The sequence below is a fragment of the Homo sapiens genome, chromosome 21 (genome assembly GCF_000001405.40).
Source record: "Homo sapiens chromosome 21, GRCh38.p14 Primary Assembly".
In the NCBI taxonomy this organism is placed as follows: Eukaryota; Metazoa; Chordata; class Mammalia; order Primates; family Hominidae; genus Homo; species Homo sapiens.
This window is the reverse complement of record NC_000021.9, coordinates 16,469,706-16,494,099: the sequence shown is the minus strand read 5'-3', so window position 1 is coordinate 16,494,099 and position 24,394 is coordinate 16,469,706. Positions and strand designations below refer to the sequence as shown.

General features: G+C 34.6%; 1 long non-coding RNA gene across 13 annotated transcripts in view; it reads right to left on the bottom strand.

Annotated features, from left to right (window-relative positions):
- MIR99AHG (mir-99a-let-7c cluster host gene) overlaps positions 1 to 24,394 on the bottom strand; it is a 561,240-nt gene that overhangs the window by 137,628 nt on the left and 399,218 nt on the right. For all 13 annotated transcript variants that reach the window (NR_136541.1, NR_136542.1, NR_027790.3 and 10 more), the window contains one exon: positions 6,562 to 6,610. This is a non-coding gene — a long non-coding RNA (mir-99a-let-7c cluster host gene). The remainder of the gene's footprint in view (positions 1 to 6,561; positions 6,611 to 24,394) is intronic.

The following is a 24,394-nucleotide window of genomic DNA, read 5'->3' as shown; positions in this document are numbered from 1 at the left end:
TGTTGCCCAGGCTGGAGTGCAAGTGCAATGGCGTGATCTTGGTTCACTGCAACCTTCGCCTCCAGGGTTCAAGCGATTGTCCCGCCTCAGCCTCCGGAGTAGCCAGGACTACAGGCATGTGCCACCACGCCAGGCTAATTTTTGTATTTTTAGTAGAGATGGGGTTTCACCATGTTGGTCAGGCTGGTCACAAACTCCTGACCTCGTGATCCACCCACCTTGGCCTCCCAAAGTGCTGGCTTTACAGGTGTGAACCACTGTGCCCGGCCCCCTCTCTCTTCTTCTACAGGCACCTCAAATTTAATGTCCAAAACTGGACAGCTAAAAAACTAGTCAAGATCATGATTACCCAGTTCTATGAACATATCATGCACATTCCCAAATACACACACATGCCCATGCAAACATATATATGCGCACCCATGTGCACCCACATGTATGATATATGTGCACATACACAAGAGTACATGTGCACAGATAACAGTGCATAAAAGAAAGTTCACACATACAAACAGGCATACAAGTACACACATGCACACATATATGCATACACATATATTCTAACATTTTATTGTGCATAAATTGTCGAGCTCTATACTTTATGTTCTAGGTGGATTTTATCCATTCTTTGGGGTCTATGTCAAATCCCACCATGGTCTAGATCACATTTACACCACTCTACTTTAATCCCCCTAAAGCAATGAAGAATGGCCACCAACTGTGGTAAATAATTACATTTTAAAATTTCCACTCAATTATGGATCAATACAATGGAAAAATACAATGTAAATTAATAATCAGCTTAGTGTAATAAAAATACAGATAAAATGTGAGATGGTTTTGGAATTATTAGATAGCAAAAACAAAATTATTTTGTCAAAATGCTCAAAGATTTCTAAATTCTCATTTCCAATTTCTCTTCTTATGTCATCATGAATCTGAAACAACTTGTGACCTGGAAGCAGACCACAAACCACACTTTCAGAAGCCCTGCTCTAAAGAAACTAGTATTCACTTACACAGTGGCTAGCACCTGCCTGCTCACTATATACATTAAAGAACAGATCCCAGTGCTGCTAGGAGAAGACACCAGAGTCTGTGTTTTTGAGGGTTTCTTTTCTGATTTTAGACTTGTGTGTTTTCTATTTTTGACATTTTTTTTATTTAGAAAGTTTTGAAATACTTAGCATTAGCCTGGTGATTCAGAGGTGCACAATAGATATTTTCAATCATAATCCATTCCTCAATTAGTTATGAAACACAATCTCTATGCCAGACACTGTCCCAGACACTAGGATCCAAATTGGCATAAAACCTGATCCCTGAATTAAACCCAAATTAAATTCATTCTGCAGAACAGCTGGCATGTAATCTTCAAAAGTGTCAGGGTCAAGAAACTCAAGAAAAGTCTGTGGCACTTTCCTACACTGACAGAAACTAATAAAACATGACTACTAAACAGCGCACATCACTCAGAAACAAGTTCTTACACCTTAAAGGACAGTCATCGGAATTCACTTGGACAGCCCATAAAACTCGAATGGAATCTAAGGATTAGATGGTAGTCATTGCTATTTCCAGGCAGGCTGGACTTCCATAACACAATGCCATAGCTTAGGTGGCTTAAGCAACAGTATTTTTTTTTTCTTTCAGTTTTGGAAGTTGGAAAGTCCAAGATCAAGATATTGGCCAATGAGATACCCCAGCGAGCATTCTCCCGGCCTGCTAACAATGGCTTTCTTGCTCCACCCTCACGTGGGAAACAAGAGAAAGGAAACAAGCCCTCTTGTATCTCTTTTTATAAGGACCATAATCTAATCATGAACATCCCTCATAATTTTATCTAAACCTAATTATCTCACGTAGGCCCCACCTCCAAATGCTATCACATTGGGGGTTAGGGCTTTAACATATGAATTGCAAGGCAGGGGGCATAATTTAGTCCCTAGTCCTTGACCGACCTACCTTCTTTCCTTTCTTCCTTCCTTCCTTCCTTCCTTTTCTTTCTTTTTTCCTTTCTATCTTTGAGCCAACATTCAAAATCATGAAATTTTACATAAAAATTCCGATACTCAACTTCCTAAATCTTCAGAAGTGGTAGCCACTGGAACACACAATTTGTCAGAACATTTGACTAGAATGTTCATTATAGTATTCTAGAAGTAGCCCTTATAGCACAGATGTTAACCATACGATCACCTGTTCCTCAGTACCCACCATTTTCTATTATCTGATATTTGTTGTTACACTCATTTTTTTGCATGCCATAGGGGCTAGAGGTACTTATATTTGTATCCCTAGCAAAATAGAAAACAATGAGGAGATCAGAGCTTTTGTTGTTGTTGTTGTTGTTTTAAAAAAACAAAACAAAAAAGCATTGCTAAGATATGCATTTGAAACACTAAGTTTCAGCCTCTGGGTTTACAAAGCTCAGCAACAGCCTAAAAAAAATAAATAAATTAGAAAAGACTGACCAAGATACTCGCCTTCTTCCCAATGACTTATTGACCTGCTCAGTAATAGGCATGTGAAATCAGAGTTGGAGCTAGTGACTTTTGCAAGTGAGATAAGAAAAAGAACTCACTAGGCATTACATTCTGTTTCAAAGGGATATTTTACTTCCACTATTTTCTAATTTTTCTTTAAATTAAATTGCAATCGTTACATCTGTTCACTGTTTCGTTTTTGTTTTTGTTTTTTTTCCTAATTTATTTTACCAGTGAAATCAGACTAAGTGGACACAGGTTCTTTCAAGCATGATTCAAATGGTAAGACAATGTCAGAGATTTAAATGGCATGAGTAGCAATCTGCATTACACAAAGTACTGAAAACAGTACTCCCTTTTTATTTAATAGAATCCATATAAATAATTTCTTCTTTTACTTATTGCTGCTATTTTGTACATAAACATCTACATTTTTAATCCGCAGAGGCAATTCTATTACAGTATTAACAATAGCAATAATGTCTTCCATATGCACAATGCTTTGAAGCTGACACAATGTTTTCACATTGATATGCAGTAATATATATCCAAGTTCAGCACCACACAAACAACTTTTTCATACATTTATAAACATTTTTCTGAAATGCTTGACTTGTCGGTATGCTTTTTGAACATAAATACCACAAAAAATCACTAAAATTCAATTTAAAATAATTTCCATTATATATCAAACCCATGTGTTTATATTATTTGTGTCTCATCCATCAGGAGAATTGATTATAATTTACTCCAGGCATAATAGCAAGGCATATAGTGGCATCTTATAAAATCTGTGTAAGATTTAACAGTTCTACTTGATTACTTTTCTTTTTTTTTGAAACAGAGTCTTGCTCTGATGCCCGGGCTGGAGTGCAGTGGTGCGATCTTGGCTCACTGTAACCTCCACCTCCCGGGTTCAAGCGATTCTCCTGCCTCAGCCTCCCAAGTAGCTGGGATTACAGGTGTGAGCTGCCACTCCTGGCTAATTTTTTGTATTTTCAGTAGAGACAGGGTTTCACCATGTTGGCCAGGCTGGTCTCACACTCCTGACCTCAGGTGATCCACCCACTTTGGATTTCCAAAGTACTAGGATTACAGGTGTGAGCCACTGTGCCCTGCCGATTACTTTCTTTTCTTACACTTTGTTCCAATTTAATTGAATGAATATTTTTTTCTGCATCTATTAGGTTCAAAGATGAATAACACACAGTCATTACCCTCTAGGGGTTAACAGCCTAGTGAGGAAAAAAAAAGATGCATACAAAATGAATTTGTACATGGGACATAACATGAAAAGGTCTATTTTTCCCTGAATTTTTATAGCGATGTAAGACAACTGGTGAGAGTGGGAATGAAGGGAAAAGTCTCTGAGTGCTTATGGAAGGAGGTGCCATTTGAGATAAACTCTGAAGAAATGGGTAGCTGTTCCATTTTACACACCTACAACACACTTGCATGAATATCTATATTATTAGCTTTCCTTTACCCAGCCCACTAATACACACTTACTCAATACTATTTTCAATGACTCTTTACTGTAACACTTTTTCTTTACTCCTTAATTTCTTGATTCAGTATACAAGTGAGAATTATTCTTTTGTATGCCTGCCAAACCTGTAATTAAGAGAGGCCTCTTTTTATTCTATTTTAAAGTTCTATTTTTTAAACAAAAGCTTAGAGGACCTATTAAATAAATCATGATACATCCAAAATATTGACTAATGTGCAGCCATTACAAACGATGAAATAGAGAACATACATAGACTTAGAAGAATGCCCATAATTAAAATGGTAAACACCAAAAAAAAATCCAGAGGATCATATATATGATATGGAAACATTATATGCTCATATTGATATTGATGTTTCTGTATATAAAGAAAGAATCTGAAAGAATAAATACGAAAACTTTTGTAGTAGCTAACTTTGAGGGATATATCATTTTATGTTTAGTGTAATTCTTATTTTTTTATCTTAAATAATTAAAACAACAAAGATACTCATATTGAAAGAAGCGCAAAGGATACACCATTTATTTTACCCCTCTAAGAATTAAAATAAACAATTGCCACTTTTTTCGATAATTAATTTTTAGAAAATGTCAAAAATCATAAATTATATGCAGATATAAGTTCAAATCCTTGAACAAATTCTCGTGATAAGTGACAATAAAAATTAAGTTTATATTAAGGCAAAATTATAATTTTATTATCATTAAAGCCAAAAAGTAGTATACATCAACAAGCAGCAAGACTATTTTCTGTCAATATACCAAAAACATCAGCAATAATCACCTAAAGATAAGCAACAACAGGCTGGGCATGCTGGCTCACGCCTGTAATCCCAGTACTTGGGAGGCTGAGGTAGGCCTCCCAAATCACAAGGTAAGGAGTTCGAGACCAGCTTGGCCAACATGGTGAAACCCTGTCTCTACTAAAAATACAACAATTAGTCAGACATGGTGGCGGGTGCCTGTAATCCCAGCTACTCGGGAGGCTGAGGCAGGAGAATTGCTCGAACCTGGGAGACGGAGGTTGCAGTGAGCTGAGATTGCGCCACTGCAATCCAGCTTGAGTGACAGAGCAAGACTCCGTCTCAAATAAACAAATAAGCAAAAACAAATGTAACACATTTATGCAATGTGCTTTATGATTTTTCAATGCATCTATAAATGGAAATAAAATATTTGAAAATACAGCAGACAATATATAAAGATAAAATAGAATCATAAAACCTTAGCCATTCATCAGAAAATGATACAATGCTGCATCACAAAGGCATCCATAGATTAGAACTATAATGTAACAGCTCAAAAAATAAAAAGTTTATTTACTTTCTGCAATTGCACCGTATCTCAGTTGTCCTCACCTGCAGCTACAGAAGGCATTCTTGCCATCAGTGATCTTTGACTCAACCAGATCAAGAAAAACAGCATGTTCTTCCCGTATGGGATTTGAGGAGTCACACGTTCATTTTACAGTCCTTGATTTGTTTAATCCTTATTTCAGTTCAATGAGTAGACAATAATGATGCTATTGCATGTACTTTACAGATGAGAAAATTTAATATCCTAGAAGCACCATGAGTTTGCTTGCCACAAATCTCGTGAGCAGTGAGGAAACTGTTATCTACAAACATATAAAGCCTAAGAAATAATCAAGCAAAGTCTAAATAAATACAACCTGCCTATTCATTATTACAGAGACTTTCTGACTCCTGGTTGGTTTTTGTGTTACCATTCTGACACGGTTGGTTTTTATGTTACCATTGTTTTGTGTTTTTTTTTTTTTTTTGTCTTATGTCTCTAATCTGCACTGTTCAGCTCTTTTAGGCACTGCAAAGTTGTCTTGAATTAGGAAAGAGGTGCTAGAATGTGGGCGTGGGTGTTGACCTACATCTGAACAATTTACATATGATTCACCACAATTAAACAATTTGGTTTGAAATAGCTATAATTAAGTTATTATCAGAGAAGTATTTACTAGTCTAGAAATTCTAAATTTATCTTCACATACACCCTAACTGAGAAAAGGGCCACATTTTCTGCACTCTATTAAGTAAAGCAAATGCTGAACTAAATGCCTCCATGTTAACATTTATATTGTTAAGTTACTGACAGCATATTCTATGAATGATTACGTTAGTCGTTTCTTTAAAAATTATAGGTTTGAAATAGCAAGAAAAATATGAAATGATGGTAGACAAAAAAGAGTTTCAGTTTCTAACTTCTAACTATATATATACACACACACATGCACACAGAATTGCCTTCCTGATGTATAGAAATTATATACAGCAATGTCAAGGCACGATGAAATTATGGAGAATATCAAAATTTAGGATAAAGAGGAAATTCTGCCTATAGTAAAATATAAACTGTAATAGTATGAAAGAAAAATTCAAACTGACAATTAAACACTACATGTTTCTAATTGAGCAGTAAGTAGAAATAACACTTTTCACTTAGTCAGAATAAGCAATATCAATTCCATGTATATCTAACAAGGGGAATAAATTATTGAAACGCAGATGAAAGAAGTATATTTTCTAACCAAAAAAAATTTATTTTTCCTACCTTTGCAGCTCAGTAGTAAAATGCTCTCTGATGAATTTTTATGGATGTCCTGGAAAAGAAACAGAAAATAGATGAAATAGAGAATTTAAAAAAATAGCTAACTGCTTTAACATTATTATACACAGTGAGTGTTAGTGGTGTATTTGGTAACGATACACTGTGGCAAGGCATTCTCTGTTCCTTCTCATACATACATGAGACTGGCAACACTGATAGTGACAAAGGGCACATGAGCATTAGAATAAAAGCATGAGCATGTTTGTGCTCTGTAGAGCATGAATGTAATGATTAAAACTCTTGGTGGGGCGTGGTGGCTCATGCTTGTAATCCCAGCATGTTGAGAGGCTGAGGCAGGTTGATTGCTTGAGCTCCGGAGCTCAAGGCCAGCCTGGGCAACATGGTGAAACCCCATCTCTATCAAAAATACAAAAATTAGCCAGGCATGGTGGTGGCACCTCAGCTACTCAGGAGACTGAAGTGGGAGGATCACTTGAGCCCAGGAGGCAGAGGTGGCAGTGAGTTGAGATCATGCCACTGCACTCCAGCATGGGTGACAGAGCAAGACTCCATCTCAAAATTTAAAAAAAAAAAAAAAAGACTCATTGTTATTCAAAACGATTAGTCAATTTAGTAATGTTTAAATTGACAGTTGGTAAAGGTAAAAAGAAAAAAGAAAAATCACTCCATATTGCTACAATAAAACAAAATAACAGCTAAAAAATAACAAAATGACAAAACTAAGACTTTTAGATTTAATAACATCTTTTTAAATTATTAAAAAAATAGGTGCTGAGATTGAAATCCATTATGTGGACATGATCATAAGGTTTCAGCTTAAGTGGCCCAAGTTTTACATTCTAGAAATGTAACAGACTATTATCTGGTGTAGAGAATTATTATTAAAAATTATGATGCCCTTCATTAAAACAGCATTAGTCTTATAACTAGAAGGTAATTTAAAAATCAACTGGTTCAACTTCCTCACTTTACAGAGAAGCAAAGCAACGTCACATCACTAGTTCACGGCAGAACTAAGGGTAAAATTTCCATCTCTCTTCCTCATACCCATTTCACAACATTAAGTTTTTTAACCCTTCATAATTTCCAAGATTGGAAAGAAGTAAAGGAAGTAGAATTATGTATTTTCTTCTTGATAAGTTCCATCCGCTTGATGAAACATCATATTTCTGCCTGAATAATCTATGTCATCAACATTTACTGTATCCACCTCATTTAAAACTCCTTTCCTTGACCATTCTTGGCTGCCTTTGCCACCCGCTGATTGTGGGGCCTTGAGTGAACATAGGCAGTAGCCAGGGAATGGTTACAGCAGGCCCGTGCAAGACCTAGCGGTGTGCTGTCTTCACATCTGACTCAGTGCAGTCACAGTGGTGGTGGCCACAGGGGTGCTTGTGTCACTCCATTCCCAGTTTTAGGTGGCTCAGAACAGAGAGAGAGACTGTATGTTTGGGAGAAAGCACGGAAAGAGAACAAGAGTTTTTGCCTGGTAATCCAGAAAATTCTCCCGGATCTTGTCCAAGACCATCAAGTTGGTACCTCTGTGAGTCTGCAAGCACCACAGAGTTACTGGGCTTGGGATGCTCCCTATACCAGAAACGCCTTAGGTCATAACACCCAAGTTCTTTCAAATATCTGGTAAGCCTCCCCAAGAATTCTGGACAGCTACAAATAAGCCTAGACACTGAAGACTACAATAAATACCTGACTCTTCAACGCCCAGGCACTGAAGAACATCTACTAGCTTCAGTACCATCCAGGAAAACATGATGTCACCAGGTGAACTAAATAAGGCACCAGGGACCAATCCTGGAGAAACAGACATATGTGACCTTTCAGACAGAGAATTCAAAATAGCTGTGTTGAGTAAACTCAAAGAAATTCACGATAACACAGAGAAGCAATTCAAAATTATATCAGAAAAATTTAACAAAGAGATCAAAATAACCAAAAAGAAGCATAAATTCTTGAGCTGAAAAATGCATTTGGCATAATGAAGAATGCATGAGTCCATTAATAGCAGAATAGATCAAGAAGAAGAACAAATTTGTGAGTGTGAAGAACAGGCTACTTAAAAATACAGTCAGAGGAGACAAAAGATAAAAGAATAGAAAACAATAAAGCATGCATACAGAATCTGGAAAATACCCTCACAAGGGCAAGGCTTTAAGACCAATATCTAAGAGGGTTTCTGAGAAGAAACCCTACAAGCTAGAAGGGATTGGAGCCCCATCTTCAGCCTCCTAAAACAAAACAATTATCAGCCAAGAATTTTGTATCTAGCAAAACTAAGCTTCATAAAGGAAGAAAAAATAGTCTTTTTCAAACAATTGCTGAGAGAATTTGACAGTACCAAGCCAGCCAGCACTACAAGAACTGTTAAAAGGAGCTCTAAATCTTGAAACGAATCCTTGAAATACACCAAAATAGAACCTCCTTAAAACATAAATCTCACAGGACCTATGAAACAAAAACACAGTTGAAAAAACAAAGGATTCAGGCAAGAATTAGCATGATGGAAAGAAAAGTACCTCACATCTCAATACTAACATTGAGTGTAAATGACATAAATGCTCCACTTAAAAGACACAAAATCACAGAATGGATAAGAATTCACCAACTAAGTATGTGCTGTCTTCAAGAGACTCACCTAATGCATAAGGACTCACATAAACTTTAGGTAGAGGGGTGGAAAAAGTTATTCTATGCAAGTGGACACCAAAAACAAGCAGGAATAGCTATTCTTACATCAGACAAAACAAACTTTAAAGCAATAGCAATTAAAAAGACAAAGAAGGACATTATATAATGATAAGAGGACTAGTGTAACAGGAAAATATCACAATCCTATATATATGTGTATATATATGTATATATACGTATATGTATACATATATACGTATACATATACACACCTAACATATATATATAAAACATATATATAACACATATATAAAACATATATATAACACATATATAAAACATATATATAACATATATATAAAACATATATATAACATATATAACATATATATATAAAACATATATATATTACATATATATATATGTGCACCTAACATATATATATATATATATATATATATATATATATATATATATATGCACGCACCTAACATTGGGGCTCCCAAATTTATAAAACTTATATCAGACAAAACAAACTTTAAAGCAACAGCAATTAAAAAGAAAAAGAGGGACATTATATAATGATAAGAGAACTAGTGCAACAGGAAAATATCACAATCCTGTATATATACACATATATATACATATATGCACCTAACATATATATATAAAACATATATATAACATATATATAACATATATATAATATATAACATATATAACATATATATAACATATATATACACACACACACACCTAGCATATACATATACACGCACCTAACACTGGGGCTCCCAAATTTATAAAACTACTACTAGACCTAAGAAATGAGATAGGCAGCAACACAACAATAGTGAGGGACTTCAATACTCCACTGACAGTACTAGACAGGCCATCAAGACAGAAAGTCAAAAAAGACACAATGGATTTGAACTATACTCTACAACAAACGGACTTAACAGAAATTTACAGAACATTCTACCCAACAACTGCAGAATGTACACTCTATTTATCAGTGCATGGAACATTCGCCAAGATAGACCATATAATAATTGAGACAAAACAAGTCTCAATACATTTAAGAAAACTGAAATTATATCAGGTGCTCTCAGACCACAGTGGAATAAAATTGGAAATCAACTCCAGAAGGAAACCTTAAAACCATGGAAATACATGGAGATTAAATAACCTGCTCCTGAATGATCACTGGGTCAACAATAAAATCAAGATGGAAATTTAAATTTAAAAATTCTTTGAATTGAATAATAGTGACACAACATATCAAAACCTCTGAGATATGGCAAAGGCAGTGCTAAGAGGAAAGTTCACAGCTTTAAATACCTACATCAATAAGTCTGAAAGAGCACAAATAGACAATCTAAGGTTATACCTTGAAAAACTAGAGAAACAAGAACAAACCAAAACCAAACCCAGCAGAAGAAAAGAAATAGCAAAAATCAGAGCAGAACTAAATAAAACTGAAACAAAAAAAATCACAAAAAATAAATGAAACAAAAAGCTGGTTATTTAAAAATATAAATAAAATTGATAGACCATTAGTGAGATTAACCAAGAAAAGAAGAGGGAAGATCCAAAATAAGCTCAATTAGAAATGAAACAGGAGATATTACAACCAATACCACAGAAATACAAAAGATCATGCAAGGCTACCATGAACACCTTTAAATGCATAAACTAGAAAACCTAAAGGAGATGGGTACATTCCTGGAAATATACAACCCTCCAAGATTAAACCAGGAAGAAATAGAAACTCTGAACAGACCAATAACAAGCAGCAAGATTGAAATGGTGCTAAAAAAAAAAAAATTGCCGACAACAAAAGAAAAGTCTAGGACCTGTTGGATTCACAGCTGAATTACATCAGACTTTCAAAGAAGAACTGGTACTATCTATTGACACTATTCCACAAGATACAGAAAGAGGGAATCCTCTCTAAATTATTCTATTCATATGAAGCCTATATCACCCAAATACGAAAACCAGGAAAGGACATAACCAAAAAAGAAAACTACAGAACAATGTCCCTGATGAACATAGATGTTAAAATCATTAACACAATACTAGCTAACCAAATCCAACAACATTTCAAAAAGATAATCCACCACAATTAAGTGAGTTTCAAATCAGGAATGCAGGAATGATTTAACATACACAAGTCAGTAAATGTGATACACCACATAAACAGAATTAAAAACAAAAATCACATGATCATCTCAATAGATGCAGAAAAAGCACTTGACAAAACCCAACATCCTTTATGATTAAGACTCTCAGCAAAACTGGCATATAATGTAATAAAAGCCATGTGTAACAAACCCACAGCCAACATAATACTGCATGGGGGAAAGTTGAAAGAATTCCCTCTGAGAATTGAAACAAGACAAAGATGCCCACTCTCACCACTCCTCTTCAACATCGTACTGAAAGTCCTAGCCAGAGCAATCAGACAAGAGAAAGAAATAAAGGGCATCCAAATCAGTAAAGAGGAAGTCAAACTGTCACTGTTTGCTGATCATATAATTGTTTACCTATAAAACCCTAAAGACTCCTCCAGAAAGTTCCTAGAACTGATGAAAGAATTCAGCAAAGTCTCCAGATACAAAATTAATGTACACAAATCAGTAGCTCTTCTATACACCAAAATCGACCAAGCTGAGAATCAAATCAATAACTCAACCCCTGGCCAGGCGCAGTGGCTCACGCCTGTAATCCCAGCACCTTGGGAGGCCAAGGTGGGTGGATCATGAGGTCAGGAGATAAGACCATCCTGGCTAACATGGTGAAACCCCATCTCTACTAAAAATACAAAAAATTAGCCAGGCATGGTGGTGGGCACCTGTAGTCGCAGCTACTCGGGACGCTGAGGCAAGAGAATGGCGTGAACCCGGGAGGCGGAGCTTGCAGTGAGCCGAGATCGCACCACTGCACTCCAGCCTGGGTGACAGAGCGAGACTCTGTCTCAAAAAAATAAATAAATAAATAAATAAATAAGAAATAACACCTTTTACCATAGCTGCAAATAAAATGAAATGAAATGAAATAAAATAAAATAAAATAAAATAAAATAAAATAAAATAAAATAAAATAAAATAAAATAAAATACTTAGTAGTATACCTAACCAAAGAGGTGAAAGACCTCTACAAGGAAAACTACAAAACACTGCTGGATGAATTCACAGACAACACAAATAAAGGGAAACACATCCCATGCTCATGCATTGGTAGAATCAATATTGTGAAAATGGCAACACTGCCCAAAGCTCTACAAATTCAATGCAATTCCCATCAAAATAACACCAACATTCTTTACAGAACTATAAAAACAAATCTTAAAATTCATATGGAACCAAAATAGAGCCCACATAGCCAAAGCAAGACTAAGCAAAAATAACAAATCTGAAGGCATAGCACATTACCTGACTTCAAACTATACTATAAGGCCATAGTCACCAAAACAGCATGCTACTGGTATAAAAATAGGCACATAGACCAATGTAACAGAAAAGAGAACCCAGAAATAAAGCCAAATACTTGCAGCCAACTGATTTTTCACAAAGCAAACAAAAACACAAAGTATGGAAAAGACACTCTATTTGAGAAATGATGCTGTGATAATTATTAGCAAGCCACTTGTAGAAGAATGAAACTGAATCCTCATTTCTCACTTCGTACAACAATAAACACAAGATAGATCAAGGACTTAAATCTAAGAACTGAAACCATAAAGATTCTATAAGTTAACATTGGAAAAACCCTTCTAGATATTGGTTTAAGCAAACACTTCATGACCAAGAACCCAAAAGCAAATGCAGCAAAAACAAAGAAAAATAGATGGAACTTAATTAAACTAAAATGCTTCTGCATAGCAAAGAAACATCCGGCAGAGTAAACAGACAAACCACAGAGTGCGAGAACATCTTTGCAAGCTATACATCCAGCACAGGACTAATATCCAGAATCTACAAGGAACTCAAACAAATCAGCAAGAAGAAAACAAACAATCTCATTAAAAAGTGAACTAAGGACATAAATAGACAATTCTCAATAGAAGATATACAAATGGCCAACAAACATATGAAAAAATGCTCAACATCACTAATGATCAGGGAAATGCAAATCCAAATCACAATGCGATACCATCTCACTCCTGCAAGAATGGCCAGAATCAAAAGCAGTCTACAAATTTAACGCAATTTCCTTCAAAATAACACCATCATTCTTCACAGAATCAAAAAATAAAAAAAAATAGATGTTGGCATGAATGTGGTGGAAAGGGAGCACTTTTACACTGCTGATGAAAATGAAAACTAGTACAACCACTATGGAAAACAGTGTGGAGATTCCTTAAAGAACTAAAGTAGAACTACCATTTGATTCAGTAATCCCATATTGGGTATCTACTCAGCAGAAAAGTAGTGATTACAGGAAAAAGATATTTGCACACACAAGTTTATCGTAGCACAAATTGCAGTTGCAAAAATTGGAACCAGCACAAATGCCCATTAATCGACCAATGGATTAAAAAATTGTGGTGTGTATATATATACCACAATTTATATATATATATACACACACCATTGAATACTACTCAGCCATTAAAAAAGAATGAAATAATGGCATTCACAGGGAATTGGAGACCATTATTCTAAGCGAAATATTTCAGGAATGGAAATCCAAACATTGTATGTTCTCACTCATAAGTGGGATGCAAAGCTATAAGGATGCAAAGGCATAAGAATGATACAATGGACTTTGGCAACTTGGGGAAAATGGTAGGAGAAGGATGAAGGATAAAAGACTACACACTGGGTACATGGTACACTGCTTGGGTGTTGGATGCATCAAAAAATCACCACTAAAGAACTTAATAATGTAACCAAACACTATCTGTTCCCCAAAAACCTATTGAAATTAAAAAAAAGAACTTATACCAATCTTACTCAAACTATTTTAAAAAATAAAAGCAAAGAAAATACTTCCAAACACATTGTATGAGGGTGGTATTATCCTGATATGAAAACCAGACAAAGACACATCAAAAATAGAAAACCACAAGCCAATATTGCTGATGAATATTGATGAAAAAATTCTCAATAAAATACTAACAAACAGAATTCAACAACACATTACAAAAATCAATCATTATAACAATATATTACAAAAATCACTCATTAATCCCTGGGATGCAAGGATGGTTCAACATATGCAAACCAATCAATGTGATACATCCTATCAAGAGTATGAAGGATAAAAACCATGTGATTATTTCAATTGATGCTGAAAAAGCATTTGATAAAATTCAGCATCCCTTCATAATAAAAACCCTAAAAAAACTGGGCATAGAAGAAATATACCTCAACATAACAAAAGCCACATATGACAGACCCATAACTAGTATCATACTGAATGAGGAAATACTGAAAATTTTTCCTCTAAGATTGGGAATATATAAGAATGACCATTGCCATCACTGTTATTCAACATTGCACTGTAAATCCTCGCTACAGCAATCAAACAAGAGAAAGATATAAAGCTCATCCAAATTGAAAAGGAGGATAAGTAAAATTATCCTTGTTTGCAGATGATAAGATCTTATATCTGGAAAAATCTAAAGACTCCCCCCAAAACTATTAGAACTGATAAATTCAGTAAAGTTGCAGGATACAAAATCACCATATAAAAACCAGTAGCATTTCTATATACCAACAGTGAACAATCTGAAAAGGAAATATTTAAAAAATCCCATTTATGATAATCATATATAAAATTAAATATGCAGGAACTAACTTAACCAAACAAGTAAAAGATCTCTATAACGAAAACTATAAATTGATGAAAGAAGTTGAAGAGTACATCAAAAAAAAAATGAAAAAACAAATCCATGTTCAAGGATTGGAAAATCAATATTGTTAAAATGTCCATTCTACCCAAAGAAATCTATAGATTCAGTGTAATCCCTATCAAAATTCCCATGACATTCTTCAAAGAAATAGAAAAAAATCAATCCTCATACTAATATGGAACCACAAAAGACCGAGAATAGCCAAAGCTATCCTAAGCAAAAAGAATAAAACTGGAGGAATCACATTACCTGACCTCAAATTATACTACAGAGCTATGGTAACAAAAGCAGCATGGTACTGGCATAAAAACAGACACATAGAACAGTGGAACAGAATAGAAAACTCAGGCACAAATCCACGCACCTACAGTGAACTCATTTTTTTTTTTTTTTTTTTACAAAGGTGCCAAGAACATACACTGGGAAAAAGACAGTCTCTTCAATAAATAGTGCTGTGAAAACTGGATATCCATATGCAAAAACAAAACTAGACCCCTGTCTCTCTCAAATCAAATCAAAATGGATTGAAGACTTAAGTCTAAGACCTCAAACTGTGAAAGTACTACAAGAAAACATGGGGGAAAGCTCTACAACATGGGTCTAGGCAAAGACTTCTTGAGCAATACTCCACAAGCACAGGCAACCAAAGCAAACATGGACAAATGGGATCACACCAAGTTTAAAAGATTCTGCCCAGTAAAGAATACAATCAACAAAGTGAAGAGACAATCCACAGAGAATGGGAGAAAATATTTTCAAACTACCCATGTGATAAGGAATTAATAACTGGAATATATAAGGAACTCACACAACTCTAGGAAAAAAAATAATAATCCAGTCAAAAGATGGGCAAGTTTTGAAGAGACATTTCTCAAAAGAAGACATACAAATGGCAAAGCAGCATACGAAAAGGTGCTCAACATTACTCATCATCAGAGAAATGCAAATCAAAACTATAATGAGATATCATCTCACCTCAGTTAAAATGGCTTATGTCCAAAATACAGGCAGTAACAAATGCTTGCGAGGATGTGGACAAAAGAGAATCCTTGTACACTGTTGGGTGGAATGTAAATTTGTACAACCACTATGGAGAACAGTTTGGAGTTTCCTCAAAAAACAAAAATTGAGCTACTACATGATCCAGCAATTTCATTGCTGGTTATATACCTAAAAGAAAGGAAATGAGAATATTGAAGAGCTATCTGCACACCTATGTTTGTTGCAGCACTATTTACAATAGCTAAGAGTTGAAAACGACATAAGTGTCTATCAACAGATGAATGGATAAAGATAATGTGGTACATATACATATACACAATGGAGTATTATTCAGCTATAAAAAAGAATGATATCCTGTCATTTGCAACAACATGGATGGTACTGGAGATCGTTAAGTGAAATAATCCAGGCACAGAAAGACAAACACCCATGTTCTCAGTTGTTTTGGGGATCTAAAAATCAAAAAGACTGAAGTCATGGACAGAGAGAGTAGAAAGGATAGGTACCAGAAGCTGGGAAGTGGTAGTGGGGGATTGTGGGTAGAGGCGGGGATGGTGAATGGGTAAAAACATTTTTTAAAAAATAGAAAGAATGAATAAGAGCTACTATTTGATAACACAACATGGTGACTATATTGAAGAATAACATTTTAAAATAATAGTGTAATTGGATTGTTTGCAGCTCAATGAAGGTGATAGATACTCCATTCTTGATGATGTGCTTATTTCACATTGCATGCTTATATCAAAACATCTCATGTACCACATAAATATACACACCTACTCTGTACCCAGAAAAAAATTTTAACATAAAATAAAACTCCATTCCTTGGAGGGAGATACCAATGAATTAGATGACAGCATTCTGATCTTAAGCTGCTTACAAATCAATGAGAGAAAGCGGGAACAAAAATTAAGTTAAAAAGCACATGAGCTGCAGAGCTGGCAAAATCAGTCAATAACACTACTAGCTGGATATGAAAGAAGCCACCCAGTAGTCCGTCACATAAAATCTGTTTTCTAGGCAGACTTCAGACAAAGAAAATGTACCATTTGCTCTTTAAAATATGCTTCCTCATTCTAAATTGATCTGTCAAATTATAAGCAATAACGGAATTATTATTTTCTCTCTGGCTACATTTCATATTTTTAAAAATATATAAACATTTGTGACTATGAAATAAAATACAATTTTTGTAACAATTAACAAACTGTTTCTGGTAAATGCTTTCAGAAGATACATCATAATAACCCTTGGCCAAGTTTGTTTTGCTATTAACAGATAGTAACCTCTAGGTTTGCAGTGAGTACAATAACAGAATCAACACTACATAAGCATAGATTCCACTGCTGTACTATCACAACCTGGAATTCTAAGAGACTGGGAACTGAGCAAACAGCAACACAATAGCTGTGGGAATGTTTGCTTGTGCTATAATCTCAGAAACAGCTTGTGTGTACCACACTGGAAGCTCACAGTATCAGTAAGATGCATCTTTCCTTGTTGGACAAACTCAATGATTAATTCATGTTTCCCTTGCAGAATGTCAGAGGATGAATGTAGTAAGCTTAAAAGTCATATCAGATATAAAAAAGAGATTAGATTTAAAACTGTTTTTAAAATGTAGGCTTTAAATGATTTGAGAGTTCGAGCCAGGGTACCCAGCTAGAGCAGCTAGTAGCTGTAACAAGAAACAGCATTATTTAATAATGAGGTGTATTCACTGGATCTTATGACTCGAGTTTTTCAATTCTGCCTAAATCATTAAAAAAGAATGCTGAGACAAACATTTTTTGTGCCAAAGTTTAAGTAACTTGACCCAACCATATTTAAGAGGAATAAAGTCACAGAATGAATTATAAAGAAATGTGTTTTTTGAAATAGCAGTAATTGGTAAAGCACAAAGTGTGTCTACATTTTTCTATGAACAGTCATGTGAGTATAGTTCAGCATTCTTATTTTATAGATATATAAATTTATGCACATACACACACTACTGCAGGTGGACACAATTATGCTTTGCACAAGCAAATGTGCTTAAACACTGAAATCTATTCTTCTAATCCATCATCTCAAGCTAAGAATACTTGAGAAGGGCGTGGTGGCGGGCGCCTGTAGTCCCAGCTACTCGGGAGGCTGAGGCAGGAGAATGGCGTGAACCCAGGAGGCGGAGCTTGCAGTGAGCCGAGATCGCGCCACTGCACTCCAGCCTGGGCAACAGAGAGAGACTCTGTCTTAAAAATTAAAAAAAAAAAAAAAAAAGAGTACTTGAGAACATAAAACACATAATGCATTAGAATGCATTAGAAGAATATTTTTCTTAATTGGAGGTGAGATTTTTGGCTTTTTCACTATCTCCAAAATAAAGATGATGGAAAATAAACACACCTGCAAGTTTCAAAGTGACATACATGGTGTAAGTGACTACCAATTTAAGACAAGATTAGCAGAATGTGGAAGGCAAGATTTTGCAGACAGTTGAAGGACAAAGAGATAAATCAAATTACTAGTTTGTTATATAAATTACTTAGAAACTCTCTTCTTGTTCTCTGCTCCCTTTCTCTTTCACTGAAGAGAGAATTGTTTATGAAGATGCAACCAAAAGTATCTTCAAAACAATGTCCTATTTAAAAAATTAACAATCTCCTAGTTTAGAAAATCAACGTTTGAACAATCAAAAGAATTTAAAATATCGTGCAACTGTATTCTATCTTTCATTACAAAAAGCTTTAGCTTTTTCATCAGGATAAGCGGTCATAAGAAGTTGATATTCTACAAGGAAAGCAAGTTGCTCACAGTTGAAGAATAGGGACAAAATAGACCTTAGCATTTTTACAAAAGTGCATAGGAGCAAATAAACAATATTACAATGTCTATACTATGCACCTTTGACACAAAACAAACATACTCTTTATAATGAATACATAGGAAATTATAGTTAACATGTTTATTAAAACAGTATTTTTAAATATATTATCATTCGTAGGTTAACTGAGTTAAAAACTTTTTGATTGTCTAGATAAGTCCACTTATTTTACAGATGCATAAAGGAATTAAGATGTGCACTATAATATTTATGAGTAAAGTCTAATTTTATTATCACAGCACATGCTTTCTTTTGATTTTCTGCAAAGCTTGGCATTGCCACTTTAAAAATGAGGATTATTGAAATGCTCCAATTTTTCAGTTTTGAGATTCACCTCCCAGCTCCTCTTCATGATTCAAATCAAGTAATGCCTACTAGCAGTATATTTTAAAATTCAAAACATATATTCTTCTATTTAATTAATGCAGAAGAATAAACACCAGGTTAAAAAATAAAGCTTAATTAAAAAATATAAATTTCCCCACATTATTAACAATGCATATGCAACAATTGTGAATTTTTGTTCATAAGAAATATATATTTTTTCCTCTTAGCCTTTTGTGCACTCCATTTTCTCTTTAATATTCTACAATTTGAATAACCCAATTCTACACTCTGAATCCAAGTCCAGGATAGGATTAGAGTTAATATTAGTCTCCTAGCTTTGGTCTCTCTGATATTTATATCAGGAAGTTGTGGTTTAGTTAATAACACACAGTTTCTGCTCATGAAAGGGTAAAAGACCCAAAGCTTTTATAGTATTATAACTATCTTCACTTCCTAACAATCATAAGATGGTCTAAGTCATTATAAGGCCATTTCTGACCTTTCAGAAGCTGCAGCTTTTTGGCATGGTGATAGAATGGTTTGAGACGAGCATGGTTCCAACAGTAACTTCATGTCCAAGGAATGTGATAAGGCCTTTTCCCCACAAAGCCTCTTTTGGAGAGAATGATATGACTGGTTTTCTGCCAGAAGACCTGCTGTACAGATTGATCTCAAGTGATCATTTTTTTCCAAGTGACAGTTGGAACATGCCCATTAGGATGGTTCTAGAAGTGTTCTTAAGCAACTTGCAGAGGCCCAGCTGAGGTCTCGTCAGCTGATCTGAGAATAGCAGTGACAGTGTCCCAAGGACAGATTGTCAGATTGTCATGTTCAATATCTTTCTAGAACAAAAATCTCCATTTAAGTAAAATGTGCTGTATTTTTAAATCACAGTTTTAAAATCACACTTTTAGTATAGTTTTTAGCTATGTTTATTTTATACGTTACAAAGTAAGTTTAACCTTACTTGTTGAAAAACACACATGCATATATCCTCTTTAAATGCATTTTCTTTTGACCGCAATTAATGGAATGTATGATATTTCATTTCTAAAAATTATCCCAAATTATATCATGGAAAATACAAAATAATTAATAATTTTTATTAAGAGAAGACTACATACAAAATAACAAACTCTTGCTTTACAGACGTTATATACTACCAAAAGTAATAAATTGATAAATAAATATGTACCATCAATGGTGGTGAAGTGCTATGAAAAGAAATAATACAGGCAAATATGGAAGTGAGGGGTTGGGATCACATTTTTAGAAGAACTAGGAAGATTACGAAGGAAAAGAACAAAATACGAGGTCATAATGCTTCCTAAAGGCTATCAATTATCACCTTGCTTCTGCTATTTTGGACATTTGGACCTGAGATTCTCCTTTATGTCACCATCTGATCTTTCTGTGAAATGGATAACAACAGACACTTTGCAAAATTTTTAACACATGCTTGATTGCAAAATATCTGATGGGGGAGCACGGTGGCTCACACCTGTAATCTCAGCACTTTGGAAGGCCACAGTGGGAAGATTGTTTGAGCCCAGGAGTTTGAGATGAGTTTGGGCAGCATAGTGAGATCCCATCTCTATTTAAAATATTAAATTAAATATCTGATCAAATACTATAGGTAAATATCTAAAAACAAACCCACAGTGATGGGGAATATGGGGCTGGTTCATGGGTACAAAAATATAGTTAGAATGAATAAGATCTAGTAGTTGATAGCATAATTGTGTGATTATAGTTAACACAGATTTATTGTACCTTTAAAAATAACTAAAATAATATAATTGGAATGTTTGTAACACAAATGATAAATTCTTGAGGCGATAGACACCTCATTTACCCTAATGTGATTATTATGCATTATATTCCTTTATCAAAGTATCTTATGTACCCCATAAATATGTATAGCTACTATATAGTCATAAAATTAAGAATAAAAAATTTAAAAAGTAAAATAAACACAGTGATTAGAGAAAGGACTGGAAAAGTTTCATAGCATAATAAGCTTCACTGAGTTTTGGACACTTAACGACACTTACATATACTAGTTAAAACTTGTAAGTATTATTTCCATTTTATAGATAAGGAAACAGATACTTAAGAGAATTAAGTAACTTCCTAACATGACAAAGATTGTAAAGGAGAACAGCAGAGTTTTGACCTGGGTCCCTGTCACTCTCAAGCCCAGTTCCCCAGCTCCGCCATTTTCAAACAGAAAAGTGAGGCAAAGCCTCTCCGAATGAGACACTCAATCCTGTTTTTCCCTTGGGGTTGAACCTTTGTAATAACAAATAAAAGAATTGAAAATCAAGTTCTTGCATTTTCTAAAATTAGCATTTTCACTCTTTATCTCTCATAAGCTCATTTAACTCTTCCTTTACAATATAAGAAACCACTTTACACAAAAAAATCAAACAAACCAACTTAATCAATTCTAATTTGGGAACACATAAAGTTGTCCTCAATGTAATTCTACCAGTGCTAGACTTGATATAATTCAACTTGGTACAATTCTGCTAATGTTCTGGCATTTGCAAAGATATATATGATTTGTTGTTTCTATCACCCATGGTTATCTTAAAAGCAAACATCTATATTATTGTATAAATATATAATTTTAAAATATAAATACTAATATTTATAACTAAAAAGAAATTTAGTAATGTAAAATGAAAGATAAACTCAAAGGAATATTAAGCTCTAAATTGACTCCTAAATTTATATATTATCCCTTGAAAACTAACATTTCTTTTAAATTTTAAAAACAATTTTGTCTTTATTTGGCACGCCAGATTTGTTGTAAAAACATTTAATTACTTGGCTATAAAAACGAAGAAGATTTATCTGCCTGCAGTTATCAAACTGGTAATTAAGAAAAGCATAAATACTTACTGGCTTTTTTCTTCTTTTTCAGAATTCATTGATAGATACTACGGTCTGAGCACTAACATCTTTTTTCATTATATGATAAACTGAATGTTAGAAGAGCCGTATATTAAGATAACTGCTTTTGTTTTACAATAAATATAGGGAGCAATTTGAAGTACTTACATAAAATTTTAGTTGCTACCAACTTAGGTCCGATAAACCACTGAGATACTAGAGTAACCTGGTAGTCCCATTTTCTATGTAACTAAAGAGAAAGAGTCAATAATCAAATTTGACTACCATCCACATTGTCTCCACGGCAAACAATGGACCTCATTTGTCTCTAAAGATAGATCAATTAAGTTTTGTGGAAAATGACAAAACTCCAGGAGAATGAAGTCAAATGAATGGGAAATATCGGAGGGAACTGCTCAAAGGAAATTACTAAGCCAATCTTTTAAACTGGATGGCATTAACTATGCTCATGTTTCCTCATTGAGAATGGATCTTTATCACTTCTTCCAAGTCCCCAATAATAACTAATCACTTAGAACACGTTTCTTGTACAGAAGATACAGACTACCTCCAAAATATTAAAAGGATACCTATCACTAATACTTGAATTTTAAATGCTCTTTTTGGCAAGTGCTGAAAATTCCAGTTCTCGAATGACACTCTGAAGGACTGTGTTTTTTGGCTCGGCTTTAGTAATGAACATGCAACTCATGTGGCTCTTCTGTCCTTGGCCCAGGCCTTCTTGACCTTAAAATATTAGAATCCTTAAACTTGGAAAAGAATCACATAACCATTGCAGATACAATAGGAAACAGACAAAACAATATAAGAAACCACTTTACACACACACAAAAAGATTTTTCTCACAATGAACAAACTAGTGAGTTATCAAAATTCTCAGTCATTAGAATGAAGATGGTTGCCCAATCTTTGTCAAAGGTGATAATTATATGGGTTGTTGAAGGTGCAAAGCAGCTTATAAGGAGATCTCAAAATATTTAGCTAGTAAGTTCATCCATAGATGACAGCAAAAACTTCACCTACCTTTGCACTTCGAGTTTTCTGAGTGTAAAGGCCTATCTGGTTTTTTACAAATATATGTCCACATATTTGGAACAGAACCTGACAAATGGTAGCTGCAAGCTTAAAATTTCTTGAATGAATGGAAAATGTTAAATTCTTCAATGCAAAACCAATCATATCACTTTTACCCCTGCAAGAAAAACCATTCAACATCTTCCCATTGCTCCTAGAAAAGAGACTGAACTTCTTAACAATCTACAAGGACCTGCTGGCTTACTGCCTACCCAATTCTTTAGTTTCCTCTCACATGTAACTCTTACCTGTCAATGCCGAACTGGATTCTTTCAGGACCTAACAGACACCAGCTTCCCTCTGTCTATAGCAATATTATCCATCCTAATAGGCGGCTGAGGCGGACTCAACCAAACACAACTACACAAAGTCCTAGCCTACTCCTCAATCGCTCATCTAGGCTGAATGTGGCCCCAAGTGGTCACAAACATATGCATTATAAAATTACTTTTTAAATACTTCAAAATGCAAAAGCTCAGAAGAGTCAAAAATAATAAAAAAAAATAGGCTGTAAGTATGAAATCTAGAATAGGTATTACCATTTTGCCATGCTCGCTTTCATTATCTTTTTCTCTATCTCTTAAAAAAAGCTAAAAGAACCTAGCTCATTATTTACTATCTCACTTCATTCAGGTAACTTCTCAGAAAGGACTTCCTTTAACAGTCAATCTAAAACGACATCACTCCTAACCTTTCATTTTCTTATTCTGCTTTACTATTTTTTGTATCGTTTATTGCTGTCTATGTTACGTATTTGCTAAATGATAAAATGTTTATCTGGCTGACTTTCCAGAATGTAAGCTGCAAGCTGAATAAATGTCTTACTACAACCAAAGTTTCACCCAATGCATTCCCTTTCCCCTCTATCCCACGCAAATACCAACAACGGTCTGAAGTCAGCATATGTGCTTTGTATATGTAGCTTTTAACTTTCTAAGAAAGTGTGTATCCGTAATAAAGTTACTGCACAGCTGTCTTTCCTTTTGTTGCCTGGTTAACGTCCACCCATCCTCCAGATTTCAACCAAAGTGTTTCCTCCTTAGACAGGCCTTCCCCACCACCCTGATTATTCACTGTTTACTGTGCACTTCTCAGCAATTGTGACAGTAAAAATTTTACTT